At 34.1% G+C, this 20,354-nt stretch overlaps 1 protein-coding gene across 6 annotated transcripts in view, besides 2 other annotated features; it reads left to right on the forward strand.

Moving 5' to 3' along the window:
• PAPPA2 (pappalysin 2) overlaps positions 1–20,354 on the forward strand; it is a 382,427-nt gene that overhangs the window by 254,742 nt on the left and 107,331 nt on the right. The window lies entirely within an intron of this gene.
• Positions 7,846–8,066: a silencer, noted in NCBI's record as "fragment chr1:176694898-176695118 (GRCh37/hg19 assembly coordinates)". NCBI's record gives its function as "represses an EF-1alpha promoter that drives an FKBP-Casp9 reporter gene in an ReSE screen in K562 erythroleukemia cells {active_cell/tissue: K562}" and the evidence as "EXISTENCE:reporter gene assay evidence [ECO:0000049][PMID:32094911]".
• Positions 15,646–16,147: an enhancer, noted in NCBI's record as "NANOG hESC enhancer chr1:176702698-176703199 (GRCh37/hg19 assembly coordinates)". NCBI's record gives its function as "activates a minimal SCP1, AML or CMV promoter by ChIP-STARR-seq in naive H9 embryonic stem cells {active_cell/tissue: H9 hESC(naive)}" and the evidence as "EXISTENCE:reporter gene assay evidence [ECO:0000049][PMID:30033119]".

A 20,354-nucleotide genomic window follows, 5' to 3' on the forward strand; every position in this document is an offset into this window, starting at 1 on the left:
TTTTACTGTCTTGTCAGGTTTTATGATCAAAGCTAAATAAATAAGTTTCTTAAATAAGTTTCTTTTTGCTCCAGTTCTCAGCTCTATGGAATATTTTGTGTAAGGTTAGTGTTAATTTTTTGAGAATTCATCAGTGAAACTATCTGAGCCTGGTGTTTTCTTTGAGGAAAAAAATACAATTATGGATTAAAATTTTAAAACAAATGTAGAGAAATTTAGGTTTTCTACCTATCTTAAGTCAATTTTAATAAGTTGGGTTTTTCAAATAATTTGTCCCTTAAAAAAATCTAAAATATCACATTAAGTTTTTCATAATATTCTGCTATTTTCTTTGTCATGTTTCTACAGAATAAGGATATTTTTCACTCATGCTATTGTTAATTTGTGGCTTGTCTCTTTTATTTTTACTGCTCAGTCTTGCTAGAGGGTTATCATTTTCATTAACCTTTTATTAATCTTTTTATATGACCAACTGAAGATATATATGATCTTATTTTTCATTAATTCCTTTATGTTTGCATTAACTTGTTCTTTTTCTAGTAACTTGAGGTGATGCATAGGTAATTGCTTTTTGTCCTCTCTGTTTTTAAATTTTATACATTAAGGCCATAAATTTCCTTTTAAACATGACTTTAGCTACATTTCATAAGTTTTCACATCTTATTTCTGTTACCATTCAATTCAAACCAATTTTCTTGTTTTCATTGTGATTTCTTTTTTTACTCCTGAGTTATTTATAAGTGTGCTGTTTAACTTGAAAACATATGTGGATTTGGGGTAACTTTTTTTTTTAAAAAAAAAAAACATAGCTAGAGTCTTCTGTGGTCAAAAGTATATTCTATATTTCAATTCTTTGAAATTTGTTGAGCCTTGAATTATGGATCAGTCTATGGTCAATATTGGTAAGTATTACATGTACTTTGAAAGGAATGTGTGGTCTGCAATTGTTGGATAAAGCATTCCATATATTTAAAATGTCATGTTTGTCCATTGTGTTGTTGAAATTTCCTATACTATATATACTTTGTATATATTGGTTTTTCCCAATATTGTGTGTACTGTTTCCATCGGGTACTGAGAGACATGTATTATATTCCTCCAAAAAAATCTTGGATTTGTATGTTTCTCTTTTAGTTTTGTCATTTTTGAGACATTTAGAGGCTATCTTATTAAATGTGAAGGCAGTCTTTACTTAGCCTGGTAGTGTGAAACCACAAAATAACTATGCAAGTTGAAACCTGCAACCTTAATAATCAATGGGAAAAATTACAATTGCTTCGTGATATCTAAAAGATTTTTTTTTTTTGCAACATTAAATGCTCTCTTATTTTTAGTTATAAGTATGTAGAAAATGGAAAAAACTAGTGAAACTAATATTTAGTTCACTGGAATTTGAAACAGAAACATGAAGAAATAAAGTGTTTCCTTTTTTGTGAAAAAACAAAAAACAAAACTTACGAAGAATACTTTAAACATTGTTTGCCTTTTCCTCATTATATGACTTACATTACAAAGCAAGCAGTTCTTCTGTGTGTTGATGAATTGTCGTGTTTCCTGTGAAGTTTGAATCCACTTCCAGCATTTTATCCTTTGCACTTTCAATGTTATGAAATATCTCTGAGAGTTCCTTTAACGTAAGTTTTTTTCTTGACATCACTTCTGGGACAGCTTCTTCCTTTTTGTCACAACTTATTTTTTCATTTATATCGATAATTTCACTTTCACTGACTTTCTCTGGCTGTGTTCCCAGAGTCTCTTGAATGGCAGTAGAGTCAACATTCCCAGAGCCAGCTATTTCTTTTATAACTCCATTTATCTTTGATTCAAATTTCACTTCCCAGTATTATCATTTTTCATTTATTTGCTACGTGTTCATCCTTTTTAGCCAATTCCCTCTTTTGATTATCCATTTCTGTAAAGTGTCATTTATCACTAGGAGACAAAATGGTAACGTAAGTATACACTTTTTAGTTTCTGTGTGAATGAAATAACAGATACCCAGTGACCAGTCAGTGACAGACTTTGAACGAAATGATGTGATTGGTCACCCATCATTATTCACATTTGTTATTCACATGGTGATTTTTGGATTGAAGGACCAGTAATGAAGTTGGTACTTTATATAGTTAAAATTAATATATTGTGCAAACTGAAATATGAATCGTGTTCTTGGGAGACTGGTTTTAGTTAGCTAAATTGTTATAACCGATATTCATCCATATGGGAACTGTGTAAACTGGAAACTGTCAGTATATAATTTTAGAATTTTTGTATCTTTTAGGTGAATTATCTCTTTTAAAACTAACTTTAAAAGCCCTCTAGCAATACTTCTTGCTTTACCATAACCTTATTGTAGCCATACCTATACTGAATAACATTTTATATTTGTGTATTGTGTCTTCTTTCATCCTATTACTTTTAACTTTTCTTTGTAATCATATTTAATATGCTTAGTTTGTTATCAACATATTATATATATATGTGCAATATAAAATTCTCTGTTTTCTAGTTGGAGAACTTAGTACAATTACGTTTAATGTAATTAAGAATGTTCAGTTTTAAACTTACCAACTTACCGTTTCTTATTCATTTGTTCTATATGCTCTTTATTTGTCTCTTTCTTGCTTTTTTTTAAATATGTAGTTTGATTATGTGATTTCTCATTCTATTAGTTTGTTAGTGTATTAGGGTTCTCCAGAGAGAAACAATAGGATGTATCTACATATAAATAGATAATAAGAGGGTATTCATCAGGGGAATGGCTCACACAATTAGGGAGGGCAATTGGTTCACACAATTAAGTCTCATGATAGGCCCTCGGCAAGCGGGAGACCTGGGATGCTGGTAGCATGACTCAGTCCAAGTCCAAAAGCCTCAGAACCAAGGAAGCCAATGGCATAATTCTGTCTGAGGCCAAAGGCTCAGGAGCCCCCAAGAAGCTGCTGGTACAAGTCCCAGAGTCCAAAGGCTTAAGAACCCAGAGTTCTGATGCCCAAGGGGAAAGAGAAAGAGTTTCCTGCTCTGGAAGAGGAAGAAAGAAAAGTCTCCCCTTCTTTCACCTGTTTGTTCCATCTGGGCTCCCAGCTGATTAGATGGCACTCATCCACACTGAGGGTGGATCTTCCTCTCTCAGTCTGCTGACTCACATGACAGTCTCCTCCAGAAACACCATACAAACACACCCAGAAATAATGCTTTACCAGCCATCAAGGCATCCCTCAACCCAGTCAAGTTGATATTTAAAATTTACCATCACAGTGAGCTATACTTTTATTTTCTAAGTGGTTAGTCTTGAGGTTGCAATACGCATTCTAACTTGTTGAGAGTCTGGTATAAATTAATACTCTCACAATTTTATAATGAATAAGATACCTTAGAATGCTTTTCCTGCATTTATTGCTCTCTGCATTTTTAAAGTAAAATGAATTTAAATTCCCTAATATTTACCCTCTCCAGTGCTCTTTAATCCTTTCTACATTTCTATGCTTCCACTATTTTTGTTTAGCTTGAGGAAATTCACTTTTATTATTTCTCTTAATGTGGGCCTGCTGGCAATGAGTTCTTTCAGTTTTTGTGTGGCTAAAATATTTTCATTTGGCATTCATTTTCAAATGATATCTTTGGTACAAAATTCTAGGTAGCCAGTTGTTTTCTTTTATCCTTTGGAAGATGTTATCCCGTTATCTTTTCACTTCCATATTTTGGAGAGTTAGCTGTACATCTGATATATATTTCTTTGAAGGCCATGTCTTTTATTCCCTGGTGCTTTTAATATATTCTCTCTGTCTTTTGTCTTCAACAGTCTTTCTATGATGTTCCAAGGCCTACCTGTCTTTGCATATGTCTGGTTTGTCAAGCTTCTCCAATCTGTGGCTTAGTGTCTTAGTTTCAAAAAAATTTTTTTCAGGTATTCCTTCTGCTCATTTACTTTTTTTTTTCTTGGTTGCCAAATATACATACATTACACCTTTTTTTGTGTATCTTTTTAACTTTTCTGTTCTTCTGTTTGTTATTCCCTTCTTTTTCATGCTGTCGTCTGATTATTTTACACTGAGCTATCTTCTGTTTCAATAATCCCAAATTTTGCTCAATATAATCAGCAGTTAAACTATTTATTAAGTCCTTAGTTTTGTTATTGTATTTTTAACTTTAGAATGCCTATTCAATTTTTCCTATATATTCTTTGTGAAATTCTTCATCTTACAGTCTATTTAAAAACATATTAATCACAATCATTTTTAAGTCTGCATCTGATAACACCAATATCTTGATGGAGGGGTCTGTTTAGGTTGACTTTAAAACATCGTATTTATTTGGGCATTTCTACTATTATACTGATAATGTTTTAAGTGAATATCAAACACAATAAATTGTAGAGGCTCTGGCTAATATCTTCCTTTCAAGATTTTTTTTTTTTGGACATTTGGTAAGATTTGGGAAAGATCACTTTAATTCAATAAGTAATTAAGATAGCTTGTGCTTTGTGAGCCTTTATACATTTCCTTTTTTTTTTTTTTTTTTTTAGTTTTTTCTTTCTTCTAAGGCCTGGCTCTTCAGGGGTCTCAACTAAAAGCTTGGATTAGGACCTCCACATTGACAGTCTTTGAAGTACAATTTCTATTTCATCAGCAGTGTGTCTGCTAAAAACTCTTCTTAGTTTTTTGGACTCTCTATTGCCAATTTCTATTTGGCTTTTTATACCGTTATTTTGCATTGCTTAGGATTTGAAGAATACCTCAAAGGCTAAAGTAGCACAGAATATTAGTTTCCCTTCAATGTGTTCTTTTTTATATTATTATTAGACTTTTAAGTCCTGACTACTTGGTTGCTCTCAAATGCTTTTAAACTTTTTTGTATACTTAATTCATGTTTTATGATTGTTCTTGCCAGGACAGTTTGTTGTATTACACGCTACTCTATAATAGCTGAAAATAGAAATCTCCAGCTGGAATTACTTTAATATATGTCAGTTAGCTACATCTTACATTTCAGGTGTGTACCGTGTTTTAGTCTGCCTTCTGATGGTATAACAGAATACCACAGACTGGTTAGTTTATAAAGAAAATAAGTTTGTTTGGCTCATAGTTCTGGAGACTAAGAAGTCTAAGAGCATGGTGCTGGCATCTGCTCAACATCGGGTGAAAGCCTTCTTGCTGCATCAAAACATGGTACCAGGGTAGTAGGGCAAAAGAGAGCATGTGAGACAGAGCTCACTTTTATATAAAAGCCACTCCTATGATAACTGAACTACTCCCATGATAATGGCATTAATCTGTTCATGACAGCAGAGTCCTCATGACCCAATTGCCTTTGAAAGGCTCTGTCTCTTGCACAGTGCAAGCAAAATTCCAAGACATGAACTTTTGTGGACTACATTTAAGCTATAGCATACCCAGTTCATACTAAAACTCATCCAGGAGTAATAGTCTTTGTATTAGAAAAAATTATTAATATAATTGAAAGTTCAGTTAATATATAAGACCTGTTAAGAAAATGTAGTCTTCACAAATCAATACAACACCAAATAATTTAGAAAGTGATTTTTAAAGATAAGGTGGTTAGGTTTTTTTTTTTAAACCTTTCAGAGAAATATAGGATTTCTGACTCTTTATTCTTCCTTTCAGTACACTTTAATCTTGATTTGATACACAAATATGATTAGTATGCAGTAATTCAGAGACAAATTTACTGCAAGTGAGAAACAATGATAGTGGCAAACATTAGTCTTGAAAATATCTTCCCAAAAATCTTTCATTGACTAAAATCTTACTTGCCCAAAAAAAATTCTATCATTTTAGTCTACATTTACTGAAATAATACTCTTAGTTTTTCTTTTCTTCTAATCTTGAGCCAATAGAGCAAAAGTGTAAGAATTTTCTTAAATATAATAAAATGTAGAGTCTTTTTTATTATTTACATAATAAGCACATTTTATAGCCATTTATGGTTTACAAAGTACATTCTCATGCACTATTTGCATTTGATCCCTACTATAGCCTTGTGAGTTTGGCAAGGTAGGTGTTTTCCAATTTTACAGGTGAGTAAAATAAGAATCAAAGACTCAAAGTGCTTTTTCTACATCACTCAAGAATAAAATAATAAATCTGACGCTCACATTTATGCCTCTTGATTCTAATCCCATGTTTATCCATCTATACTATGTTGCCTCCTTCAATTAGCATTCACTAAGCACCTATAATATGCCAAAACCAGAATTAAGCACTGGTGACAGACAGAAACATAGCACGAGCAAGCAAACAAATTAAAACATATGTTGGATTGTGAGGAAAGGCTTCCTTATCTTCTTTTGCTGTGTTTCTTCTAAATTCTTGAAAGACTGTGTATCTATTAATCTAGTTCACAGGATTTATTAAATACTTATTGTCAACTCTTGGTGTCATTGGGGGATTGAGAAAGAAACAGAAGGCATAATTCTTCCCAGAAAGTCCTTTGTATCTAAGTAATATAGACAACAAATGAAGCAATTTGAGAAGCAGATACTCAATAAGTACTTGTTTGGTTTCATAGGGAGCCCGTCAACATATGCAAAATCATATGTTCATGTTTATTTTCGTGGCTCCTCTAAAATGTCTGCAATTTGGAATGGTCTCGTTCAGGCTGGACTGGTTAGCAATCCCAACAGCAACCACCACATGCTCACAGTGTCTTCCACATCAGTTATAAATTACAGACCACTGCCTGGAAACCCTTGCTACATAAAGCCCAAAGCCTATTAACCATAATTTCCTCTCTTCCTTTGTTTGGGTTCGACTCTCCAAACACTGACTGTGAATCTTCAACAGAAAACGCAATACATGTTTAATTGATTGGATTTCAAAGATGAAAATCCCTAACACCAGGCGTCAAAGAAGAAGAAACGCATTGATTGAAATTTATTCTATTACTGATATTTTATTATTAATTCTCATACAAATTCTTACTAGAGATATGATTTTTCTCATTCTAAAAATGATTATCTTAAAATTCAGAGATGTTAAGCACTGGCTAGTAGAGCTACAGATAGGATTAAAATTGAAATCCAGTTTATGGAAAAACTCATGGTCCTTTCTCTCTACACCAGGGTTTTGGAAACATTTTCTATAAAGAAAGCAGATTAAAAAACTACTTTAGGGTTTATGGGCCATTCAGTCTGTGTCACAACTACTTAACTACTACTTCCGTTAGCATGAACATAGCCATAGTCAATATGTAAATGAACAAGCATAACTATATCTCAACGAAATTATATTTATGAACTCGGAAGTTTGAATTTCATATAATTTTCATATTATTCATGTTTAAAGTTTTTTTAACCATTCAAAAATGCAAAAACTCTTCTTAGCTCACAGGCTGTACAAAAACAGGCAGTGGGTCAGATTTGGCTTGTGGACAATAGTGTGCTAATATCTATTCTATATCATGTTTCCAGTAAATATTAAAGATATTTACTAGTGTTTGCTTTATTTCCACACCATGACAACATTCACTTTTAATTCTACTTAGTAAACAATGCCTCATATGAACAATATATTGTGATATGGAGGGATCCAAAGATGAATGAATTACCATCTTCACCCTTAAGGTACATACATAGCAGTGGGCATGTTTACAAAAATATGATAGAAGACACAAAGTTGTAAGTCATGTGCTACAGATACAGTAAAGTGAAAAATAGACTTGAAAGAACCTGGTAACTGATTGGACATAAGGAGATAGAGATAAGCATTATCTCAGGCTGAATTATTTCATTTATCACATCTTCCACACCCGGTTACACACACACGCACGCGCGCGCACACACACACTCACGGGTTTAGTCATTTTAATCATAACAGATTTATTTTAGTGCTGAAATATGTCAGAGTTTTCTTTTCTTTTTTTTGAGACGGAGTCTCGCTCTGTCGCCCAGGCTGGAGTGCAGTGGCACAATCTCGGCTCACTGCAAGCTCCGCCTCCCGGGTTCACACGTTCTCCCGCCTCACTCTCCCTAGTAGCTGGGACTACAGGTGCCCGCCATCACGCCTGGCTAATTGTTTTGTATTTTTAGTAGAGACGGAGTTTCACCGTGTTAGCCAGGATGGTCTCGATTTCCTGACCTCGTGATCCGCCCGCCTCGGCCTCCCAAAGTGCTGGGATTACAGGCGTGAGCCACCGCGCCCGGCCAGAGTTTTCACTTCTCTATAACATTCCTGGTGGGAAACTTATATTTTTTTCCTTCTCTGTAAATGATTTACTCATTATGTCTCCCCAAGAAATACAAACTTACCTTCTACTTCTGTCATTTAGCTCAAGGATTATTTCTATTATAGAACCTAACCCTTTCTAAACTCTTCTCCTGAGCCCCAGGTGGTATAATTGATCACTTCATCCTTGATACACACTTCTCTCAAAGTCCCTGTATACTCCACTGTTCTTGTTTACCTATCTCTTCATCCTGTGAACTGTAAGGATCTCGGGACAGAGGCCATGTGTAGTCAAGATTGTATGTTCAACACTGAGTGCAGAGCCTGCTTATTGTAGTGTTCAAAACTGGTGAATGCATGAATAAATGACGAGATATTAAGTCTTAGCCTTGGCAATGGGGAGCATATTGATAATATCTTTTATGACACAGAATAGAGGTAAATAAGTAGGACTGTACACTGGTCTAGACTGAAAAGAGAATGGCCACTACCATTTCTTCTGAGGCCAGAAATAGTGGCAAACCACCTCTTCTTGAAAAGCCTTTTAAAAGATGGGCTGCAGTTCGAGTGGAAATCACATCAAAGGGAATTTTTCAAGGATGAGGAGAATTTGTGATTATCTTTGTTTGTGGCAGGTTGGATTTGGATTCTCTAGGAAATACATATTCTGAGATGGAATTTGGTATACAGGCCATTTACTAAGGAGTGGTCTAGGGATCACCATCTGTGAGCGAGAATGGAAAGAAGCGTAAGTGGGTAAAAAAGGAAGTTGAGCAGCCTTAATGTTAGACTCAGCTGACTCCTTCTGTGGAGAAATAATATATATGACCACAAAGGACAAGGCGGTTCAAAGTAGAGTAGTACTTCTGTAAGGTCCTAACATTATTCATGAGATAGTAATATTTTTTGGAAGTAGATTGCAATAAGCTAGAGATGCATATTGTAATCTCTAGAATAAAAATACACATATGCACAAATAACTGTAGAGGAAAAGTCAAAGAGAAGATTAATGGAATAATAAAATAAATGGATTCAAAGAAGGCAGGAAAAGAGGAACTAAGAAATGAATAATTGTTGGAAACAACAGAAAATAAATACCAAGATGGTAGACTTAAACCCACCTATATCATTAATTACATTATTTAAATTATCTAAAAACTCCATGCAAAAGGCAGAAATTGTCATATAAAAAGAACCAGTTACAAAACTGTTTATGAAAAACACACTTCAAATAAAAAGACATGTACATCAAACAAAAGGGTGAAAAATTATGTACCATGTATATCCTAAACATAAGAAAGTTGATGTGCCATGTTAATATCTGACAAAATAGATTTCAATACAGTGTGTTACCAGAGATAAAGGAGCATATTTCATAATGATAAATAGGTTAATTTCTAAAATAGACATAATAATCTTGTTATAAATTGAAGCACTTAAGAACAGAGGCTCAAAAGAAATGAATTATAAATTGACAGAACTAATGAGCAAACAGCCAAATTTATAATCATAGTTGGGGATTTTTTTCACCTATCTGTTAGTAATTCATTTAATAAGTAGGCCAAAAAATCAAAACAGATATATAAGATTTGAAGATCATTATCAAATATCATGACCTAACTCACATTTGTAGAAACACTACACTCAAAACAACTGTAGAATGCTCATGGTACTTCACCAAGACAGACCATATACTAGACCATAAAACAAGTCTCAATGAATTTGTAATGTTTGAAGCATACAGACAAATTAGTAGCAAGATATCTAGGTCATTCCCAAATTAAGCAATACATGGCTAAATAATTCACAGGCCAAAGAAGATTGTATGGAGGAAATTAGAAAATATTTTGAGCTGAATTATAATGAAACAAAATTGAAATTTGTGGATGCAATTAAAAAAAGTACTTACAGGGAAATTTATAGCATTTAAAATGCCTATATTTAGGAAAGAATCAAAATAAGATCAACAATCAGAGTTTCTACCTTAAATAAGTAGAAAAAGATCAAATTAAAATCAATTAAAATAAAAAGGAAAATCACAAAGAGCAGAAATTAGTAAAATAGAAAAACTTCAATATCATTACTATTATTTTACTTTCTCTGGAAATAGAAGCCAGTGCAGTTAGACTTTTGATTTTATACTTTATGAGATATAAAAGAAGTTAAACATAAAATATGAAAGAAGGAAGTAAAATTTTAGTTAGCATTGAAAAGAGAACAACCTGAAAATTATTTCACTTAGTATCACAGTTTAATACAAAATTAAGGTGAAAATAAATGTGCTGACTAATTTAAACAATCACCAACAAAAATGAAAGTATCTCAGTAGCAATAAAAATGGTAAAATAACTAGAAATAAAACTAAAAAGAAATTTGAAATATCTCTATGAAGAAATGCTACTGAGAGATACCATGAGGGCTTGAATAAATGAAGAGGCACAAACTGGTCCTGTATAGAAAGACTCAATATCATACGAATGCTGATTCTCCCTAAATTTTAAATTTCCCATAATCCCAATAAAATCCAAACAAGATATTCAAAAGAATTATACAGTTGATTTTAATTTTTTTGTGTGTGGAGATTCTGAAAAAGATGAGTAATGGAGGCCTGGCCTTATCAGATATTAAAATACATCATAAAATTATAGTCATTAACACATCAAGGTGCTATATATAAATAAACAGATTAATGGAACAGGGAAGTTCAGAAGTATGCCCAAACATATATACATAAATGTAGACTTAACCTTAAACATAATACTTTAAAGGCAATGAGACTAGTACATCATTTCCACATATTGTTGCCCAAACCCGATATTACCCAATTATCTCTATTTAATTAAGATGATGGGAAAAATGTGGTATCTTACTTTTGTTATGTTTTTCATTTTTCTAATTATTAATGGGGTATAGCATCCTTTACATAATAATTATCAAGCATTTAGGTTTTTTTCTCTTTAATTATTAGTTTTTGCTAAGATTGCAAAGATACCTTTTCGTTTTTAAATTAGTTTTATACTTTTGCCTGTCAAACTTTAGCCTTTAATATATTCAACATTTGTTTTTGTATACAGAATAAGACAGGGATCTACTTTTAAATACATGTATAATCCAATTTTTCTAATATCGTCTGTTAAAGCATCCACCCTTGTCCTAATGATTGTAGTCTCGAGTTGATTATAACCAAGTTCTAGACATTACGTGATTCTAATTTTTAACTCTCTTTTATATTCCATTGGTCTTTTCATCTGTTTCCTTTACCAGCAATACACTGTTTTTATTACTATAGCTTTAACCATATAAACATAGCTAGCAGGACATGTCCCCTCTCCCACTTCCTTATACGTCTTTTTCAAAACTGAATTAGCTTTGAAACCAATGAGAATGAAGACACAATGTACCAGAATCTCTGGGACACATTTAAAGCAGTGTGTAGAGGGAAATTTATAGCACTAAATGCCCACAAGAGAAAGCAGAAAAGATCTAAAATCGACACCCTAACATCGCAATTAGAAGAACTAGAGAAGCAAGAGCAGACAAATTCAAAATTGAATGAACTATTCATTATTCATGAACACTTACTCGTTATTTGTGTGCCATTGTGCATGGCCAAGAAGTCATTATTAAACACACACACAAAATTCAAGAACTTGCTACCTATACTCCTTGTTGAGAAAAAATATTAAAACCAGCCAATTTTAGATTTGAAATTTTAGAACAAGCCTTAAGTCATTTTTTCTGCCTCTTGAAAAACATACTTGTACATATGGTCTGAACTTAATTAACCCCTTGATTTGTATTAATTGATATGAACTTGTGATTTTTCTCCTTTGATTCATAATTATGTTAAATAGCCTTGGTAGATTTTTCTTTTTAGTTGTCAAATCATTTTTGCCTTCGTGAAGCAAGACTACATACTTATTGTATATTTTAAACGTATTGTTGGATTTTATTGGGTAATCTTTTATTTTTGACTTTTGCATGTAGAATTATTTTATATATTCATTTTTTGAATATTCCAATTATAGAAGCCTCATATAATTGCTTGTACAATTTTCTTTTTTTATTTTCTGGAGCCACTTGTATAAAATAAGGATGATCTGTTTCTTCAAAATTTGGCAGAGCCTACCTGTAAAACCAACTGGTATGGGGCTTAACTGAGAGAATACTTATGACTGTCACTTAAATTTATTTGATTTTTATTAATGTCTTATTTTTTTCTATTTTTTCCAATTTTGAATTTTTTGTTATTTCCAGAAATTTATTAATTTCTTCCATATATGCAAATTTAGTGCTGATATTTGTTCATAATGTGTTTTTATTATATTTCAACTCTATTTTAGCTGTAGTTGTTACATCCTTTCTTGTGTATATTTTTGAACCTTCTTTTTCTCTTTTTCTTGATTACGCATGCATGGGGTTTGTCTGGCTTATCAGTGTCTTCAAAGTACAACTTTTACTTTCATTCATCTCTCGTTTTGTTCTCGTTTTTGTTTTTTGTTTTTTTTTTGTATTTCGTTGATTTCTACTCTTATCTTCATTATTTCCTGGCTTTTTGTTTGTCTGGATTTACACTGATGTTCTTTTTCTAGGTTTTGGTGTTGAAATGTTTGGCTAATTTGTTTTAGGTGTTCCATAATTTTCCCCTCTAAGTACTACTTTAATTGTGCCCCATAAATTGTGACATATAAGGATTTTATTGTCATTCAGTCGTAAGTATTTTGTAATGCTCTTATAATTTCTTTTTAAAACCTTGGATTTTTAATAGCATTTTGTTTGTTTCTAGCACTTATTTTTCAGGGCATAATAACTTTTATTGTGCCAGCTGTGTCTTTATTAGATATTTTTTTCTCCTTTTCTTGGCCCTACATTTTATTAGGAAGTACTTAAATAGTGAGTCTTTATTTATTCAGGAATTAAGGGCCAGTCCAAGGTAAAAATGTGTGCCCAGTATCATTCACTGGCCAAAAAGTGTCTACCACTTTTACCAATTTTATCTCTATTTTTGTTTTTATACATAAACATCCACAAGATCCTTTTCTCTATTGCTCTTTTCCTTTTTAAATTTGTGTTCCTTATACTTCTTTCTTTTCTCTGTTCATTTTTGTTTTCCTTATTGTGAATTTTTTAAGTTGATGTGTTTCATTTTTTATTTTCTTATAACTGACAAAACCACACACACACACACACGTTGTACACTGTAAATATATATAATTTTGAGACGGAGTCTCACTTTGTTGCCCAGGTTGGAGTGCAGTGGTGTAATCTTGGCTCGCTGCAACCCCCATCTCCTGGGTTCAAGCAATTCTCTTTTCTCAGTCTCCCTAGTAGCTGGGATTATAGGTGTGCCCCACCATGCCCAGCTAATTTTTTTTCTTTTCTTTGTATTTTCAGTAGAGACGGGGTTTCACCATGTTGGCCAGACTGGTCTCAAACTCCTGACCTCAAATGATCTGCCAGCCTCAACCTCCTAAAGTGCTGGAATTACAGAAGTGAGCCACCATGCCCGGCATAATGTAATACTTTGAGATATATTTATATGTGTATATATACATATGTGTGTGTGTACATATATGTGTATATATACATATATGTGTACATATATGTGTATATATACACACATATATGTGTACATATACATGCGTACATATATATACGCATACACATTGTGAAATGATTGCCACAATCAAGTTTATTGTACATTCTTACATCTTTTCAACTTTGGGTTGCAGAAAAAAATAGAACAACCATTTCAATTTAAATTTTAGATAAACAATGAATTTTTTTTCTTTAGTATGGGTATCTCCATGCAATATTTGGGCATATTTAAACCTCATTGTTTATCAGATAGTCAAATTCAAGTGCCCATACTGTGTTTTGGTTTGTTTTGGCTAAATCTGGCAAAATAGTTTATAATTTAAAAAATATAATTAGTCAGATGCTAATCACTTATTCAGAGATGACTTCAACCACCCAGGAAACTGTCCAGATTTCATAATTTAGCAAAAAAAGAAAAAGCCCATGTACAGATGGCACCAAGTCCAATCACTACTTTGGATTATTTGACTGTGTTTATAGGAAAGTTGACAAGATCCTTTGTTAGAGCTGTTGACTTTACATTGAATTCTAACAGTATTTGTTATCTGAATTTGCAGTCTGTTTTATAAAAGGAGCAACAAATTAGTAGGGATTTAGAAACTGGGAGAAAATATACACTCAGAAGACCAGTAATGTAAGCCTTGTTTTTACCATTAACCAGTTAAGTGACCTTATAAAAATCATATTACCTCTCTGGGCATTAGTTTTCTATTCAAATTTGTTTCAAATGATGCATTTGGATTGGATGATTTCTTTCGGATCTGCATTTAAGTTTAAGCTTGATGGTGAGTTCATAAAAGAAGATAATAAGCAAATATGGTGAATGAAAGTATTACAATCTTAGACTACTAAGTGCTAAAGGCAAAGATAATTATATCTATTAATAGCTTTAAAGTCTTGTTACTCAAAATGTGGTTGGCATGCAGAAACATTGGCATCACCAGAAATCTAGTTAGAAATGCAGGATCTCAGCTCTAGGAACTCATAATCTGCATTTTCACAAGATCCTCAGGTGATCTGTATGCATATTAAGGTTTGAGGAGCACTGCTTCAGAAGACTGTTACCTTAGCATTTAGTAAGATAATTGATGTTCAAAATGATTTAAAATTGTCTCCAATTCATTAAGTGAAAATTCAGTTAAGTACAGCAGAGATACCCAACCCTCAGGCTATGGAGCAGTACTGGTCCGTAGCCTGTTAGGAACCTGGCCACACAGCAGGAGGTGAGAATTGGGTGAAAGAATATTGCCCCCCTGAGCTCCACCTCTTGTCAGATCGGTGGCATTAGGTGCTCATAGGAGAGCAAACCCTATTGTGAACTGCACATGCAAGGGATCTAGGTTGTGGGCTCCTTATGAGAATCTAATGCCTGATGATCTGAGATGGAACAGTTTCATCCTGAAACCATCCTCCTCCATTCCCTCCACCCCCATCTGTGGAAATACTGTCTTCCATAAAATAGGTTCCTTGAGCTAAAAAGGTTAGGGACTGCTGAATTTCAGGATTCTCTACTTGAGGAGGCAGAAAATTGTCTAAGGTGCATTTAAGTTATTTCTATATCCATGATTGAAATTTCTAAAATGATCTTGTGCTTCAGAAGAAAATCTTCTGTTGTTTGGAAAATGAATCTATGTGGATCCCTGCATTTTGTGGGAATCCTGCAAAAGCACAGATGACTGTGTGTACGTGAATCTCATTTCCATCAAAAACTAACTGAGTGCGCTGACAGAGGAGCTCCAATTCTCAGTGGGTCAATAGTTTATTCTGAGGGTAAAGCACTCATTTCCCTCTTTCCTGTTTCATTGTTACTAATCTTTTTATTGATTTTTACATGAAAGCTTTTTCCAGTCCCAGACATGGCAACTTCACAGACACATGAATAATTGGGATAGCAATGTTTTTTTATCCACGATAGAATCCTACCCAGCCGGGGAATGCTCTCATTCCTTTCTTTGCTTATGCATTCTTGTTCCTGAAAGAATCATCTCCAGCTATGTTCCATAACACCTTTTCTCAATGTCAGGCTTTGTCTTAAATGGGTTTCTCCAGGATTCAGACTGAGAGGAGGATTTGCCAGCAGATAGTTTATTGAGAACCTGACTCAGAGCAAGATCTGTGGAGGAGTGAAAGAACTAGCATTGAACAGACAAAGGAGAACTGAAACAGCCCCCGGCAGGTGTCAGCATCCCACAGAGAGCTGGGATGGCCCTTCAGAGTTGTCCCACTCTGTATACCACTCACCCCAACCAAAAGGTTATTGGACATTGCCTGTCCACTCCACCTCCCACTCCAAGAAAATGGCATGTCCTTGTATAGAGAGGTTTTTTCCCCCCTCTGAGGGCAGTTTCTGGAAAGATTCTTTCCAATGAGCTGAATGCCAGAGTCATGAAAGAGGGGATGCAGCTGACACATCACAGTATCCAATACAAATTTGACTTTGTCTCTTTCTGACACTCCTTCCAAGTTCTATAAGCTCTTCTAACACAGAATCTCTGCAGACTTAGCCTTGGTGTCTAAAATCACAGTTTGAGGACATGCTCTCAGAAAGAATTCAGCCAGTCGTCTGATTCTGATCTAACCCCCTTCCATGGACTTGACAAATCATACATTGTTGAATGTCTACCCCTAGTTCGGGTGGGATTATAGTGGTTCCCCCTTCATTTCAAAAAATTATGAGTTGATCTCACCCTTCTGAAACACACACACACACACACACACACACACACAAACTCATGATGTGTTTGTAGCCTTTCTTATACTATGAAGGAATAACTCAGGAAATCAGCTGGGTTTTAGCCATACAAAGGTGGGCAGGGGCTCAAACATCAGAAGAAAGTAAAAACAGGCTCCAACCACACCTACCCATTTTGACCCACATCCTCAATCATGGAGACAACCATGGCAGCTCAGTGCCTTATATCCCCCCTTCATCCATTAGATTTGGATTTCAGGTAAGATCCCTTGAAACTTTGATTATTAAACTCTTCCTCGACAAAATTTCAGAAGTCCACACAGATAGCAATAGTATTAGGTTGAACCAGAAGAAATTGCCAATATTTGATAATTCTTCACCTATAAAAAAGTAATGTGGTTCAATCAATAGTGCAAGCATTCTTAATCTGATTTCTCTCAACCTCTAATTGGACCACGAATGGCTTTTAAAAGTGTCTGTCAGCCCCCTTAAAATTGTGTAAAGCTTTTATGACTAAGAGATTATGTGACTTTATTTCTGGGGGGAGTAAAAGCACAAACATCAATAAGTTTTCTAATCTATGATTTCCTGCTTACCCCAAACTAAGAACATTGGTTCAGTCAACATAATACAGAGCTTAAATTGGGAAAAACCAAGTTCCTTCCTCTCTAGCATTTACCTAGGGAAAGCCACTTAAGCTTTCAGAATCCTAGTTTCCTCTTATGTAATATATCCTTTATATCTTGAGGCTACTGTTGTTCAAAAATATCAAAAAGGAATAAAATCACAATGAGCGCAGTGGACCCACCAGCAAAGCCTGTAATCAGGCTTGGCAAACTGTGAAGTGCTATACAAAAAGAAGGTGATGCCTGCCTACTTTTCTTCTGGTCTAAGGTCTTCTGTTTCCCTGTGGAATCAGGAAGTGCCATAGATGAGTGAAAATGAAAAGGCACAGAAGAAAACAACAATCCAGTAACCAAAAGCATTTTAAAACCTCAGAGAAGATTCTTTTCAAGTTTGTGGTAGAGTTTCAGGATCTGCTATCCAGTGAGCGCCACAAAGGATGACCTGGAAGTTGAAATGCTTGGCTTGGGAGCATATTGAGTGTGTCTGTGCCCAGCAGGCAGATTGAAGGGGGATTTCTTAAGCCCAAACAGTTCTACATCAGAGACACTTTCTTTCAATCTTACCCTTCACCAGTGGCCAATGGTTAGATTGCGTAGTTAACATGCAGCCTTTGGATGAAAAATCAACTGAGTGTGTGAGACTGGCTTTCCCATCTCTCAGAATCTATCTATCTATCTATCTATCTATCTATCTATCTATCTATCTATCTATCTATCTATCTATCATCTATCTGTCTGTCTATCTCTATCTGTCTACCCATCCTTTGTTCATTTTCTCTTTGTTTCAAAATATTTTGTAATGAATTCACTAAGCTAATTTCACTAGCAATCCCTCTATCATGATACCAATTCTCAGACCTGAGAATCACTTGCTTTTCTAACAGTACTTGTCTCCTACCTGATATCTAGCTAAAGTTTTTCTTCCTTGCAAGAGACATGCTTAAATTAATTTTACATTGTGCATGTAATATATGAAAGTAAACTCTTTGTTAAAACGAATAGTAAAATGTTAGATATAGCTAATAATTCTTTTGACTTTCCAGCACTTTGATTTTTTCTTATGGGGCATCAATGATGCACATCTCAGATCTGAGTAGCTCCTAAGGGGTCTTTTAGGAGAGCTTTGTCATTAAGAGGACAGCTGTTCACAAGCATGCATTTGGAGTGATCAGAAGAGTGTCATACTTGCAGTGGCAAAAGTGACACAGGCATACAGCTTCCTACTGTCAAACTGTCTTCCTGATGTTTCTGCTTGTCTTTCATGTCTAGGAGAATAAATTCATTATTTATCTCTAATAAAGCAAAAATAGTCTGGACTCTATATATATATAAAATGTATTTCTTTTGTACAATTCCTTGTATTCCTGTATAAAATGTATTCTCTCTCTATATATATGTATGTATTCCTCATTTAAATATATTTTTAAGGTTGCTCTTTCCACAGCCAAGTCACAAATGTATATGTAAAAATATATATTTATATATATTTTATGTATGTTAAAATGTATATTTATATATTTTTAAATATATATCTTATAAAATATATAAATATATTTATATTTAAATTAAAGTCACATATATACATATATATTTGTTACTTGGTTGTGGAAAGAGCAACTTAAAAATAAATATATTTAAATAATGAATAATCTGAAAGGATTTCTAAATTGCAGTGCCAATTCTAGAAGTTTCTATGTCCTTATGTACAGCAAAAGTAGATTTTTAATAAATACATTTTAAACTAAATTTCTGAAAAGCCTGCAAGAAAAATTATATATTTATTTTAAAGTATAATGTATTTTTCATAGACTCAATTTATAAAGTAGAGATATATTCTGTACCAAGAGCCTACAATATTGATCATTTCCATGGAAGCAGATCTTGGAATACCAGTTCACATTTCTACAAGTATCAACTGAAAATAGCATATATGAAATTTTTTAGGCTATACATTTCAGAAAATCATAATTCCCTCTATATTAAAATATACAAATATATGTTTAGTTTTAAATTTTTATTTTTTTTACCTTTTTCCTACATTGTAAATACACTAATTTTTTTTTTGGAAATACAAATTATCGAACACTGAATTCTTACTAAATAATAGTGACCATTCTATGTATTTTTACCTGATTTCATTTAATAGCCATAGTCAAGCTGTCGGTAACATCTCTATTTCTTAGTAGCAGAAAAGAGAAACCCTAGGCTCAGAGAAGAGAGATATATTGCTCAGATTTACCAGCAAATAAAGAACAATCCAAGAATCGAACTCAGGGTTTCTGCCTGGCTTACTCTCTCTCTCTAGAACTGTGAATTTAGTGGGTTCCTTTTGCCTCTGCTTGAATTTATTATACATGTACATGCAGATTCAGGCTGGTTTCTATTTTTGAAGATCCAGCAGTTGTATGAGGGTTCACACTTTCTTGTGCTAGTTGCTGTTGTGAACATACGTGGGGTCCGAATGAATGAAACTTGGCTACCTTTCTGTGTCACTGTGAAAGGAAATGCCCAAGACTCAGCATTCCATAACTTGATCAAACACTTGTCTCTGTTTGCTTTGTGTAGCCTAAGACTCCTCTCTGCCTGTGTCTCCTTTGTAAGCTTCATCTGAGGTTTTCCTACTTAAGCCATGGCCTGGAAATCCTGGCATAACTTCTTCCCACAAATCATGGCACAGAGACCTTGCCACCAGGAACAGGCAAAGTGATTTGATATTCAAAGACCCTTGGAGCAAGGAGGCATATTGCTAGGAGATGAAAAATAGGTTGGAGGTTTAGGCAGCGACGTTCAAAAGGTAGACACTCACACCATAAGGCCTACCTTTATTAACTAGCTTAAGGTGGGTATCTATTTTGGGATCCAACAGAAGGTGGGAAGGCTGGGTTTCCTCCTTGTTGAAGCCACCCTACTCTTCATGCCTGAGTCCTAATGGGGTAAAGCCACCAGGTATTTGTTTGGATTCTGTTCCTGGCTCAGAAAATGACACAGAACTTTCTTCCAGTACTCAGGTTTCTTTTGTGGTGTATGAAAAGGAAGAGGTTATGGAAATTCCCAGGGGGCTTTGATGTCATTTGCTGCTGGAGCTGAGGGCATTGAATTGGGCTCTTGGTTACCTTAGGGTGTGTTTCATGTCTAGCCCTCATCCAGACAGGGACAAAGGACTTCATATGGCAAGTGTAATCTTGGGTCTGGTTGTTTCTTAAGTTATGAAGAAACATTTGTTACTTCAAAGAGGAGAAATAAAAAGGGGGGGAA

The sequence above is a fragment of the Homo sapiens genome, chromosome 1 (assembly GCF_000001405.40).
Source record: "Homo sapiens chromosome 1, GRCh38.p14 Primary Assembly".
NCBI lineage: Eukaryota > Metazoa > Chordata > Mammalia > Primates > Hominidae > Homo > Homo sapiens.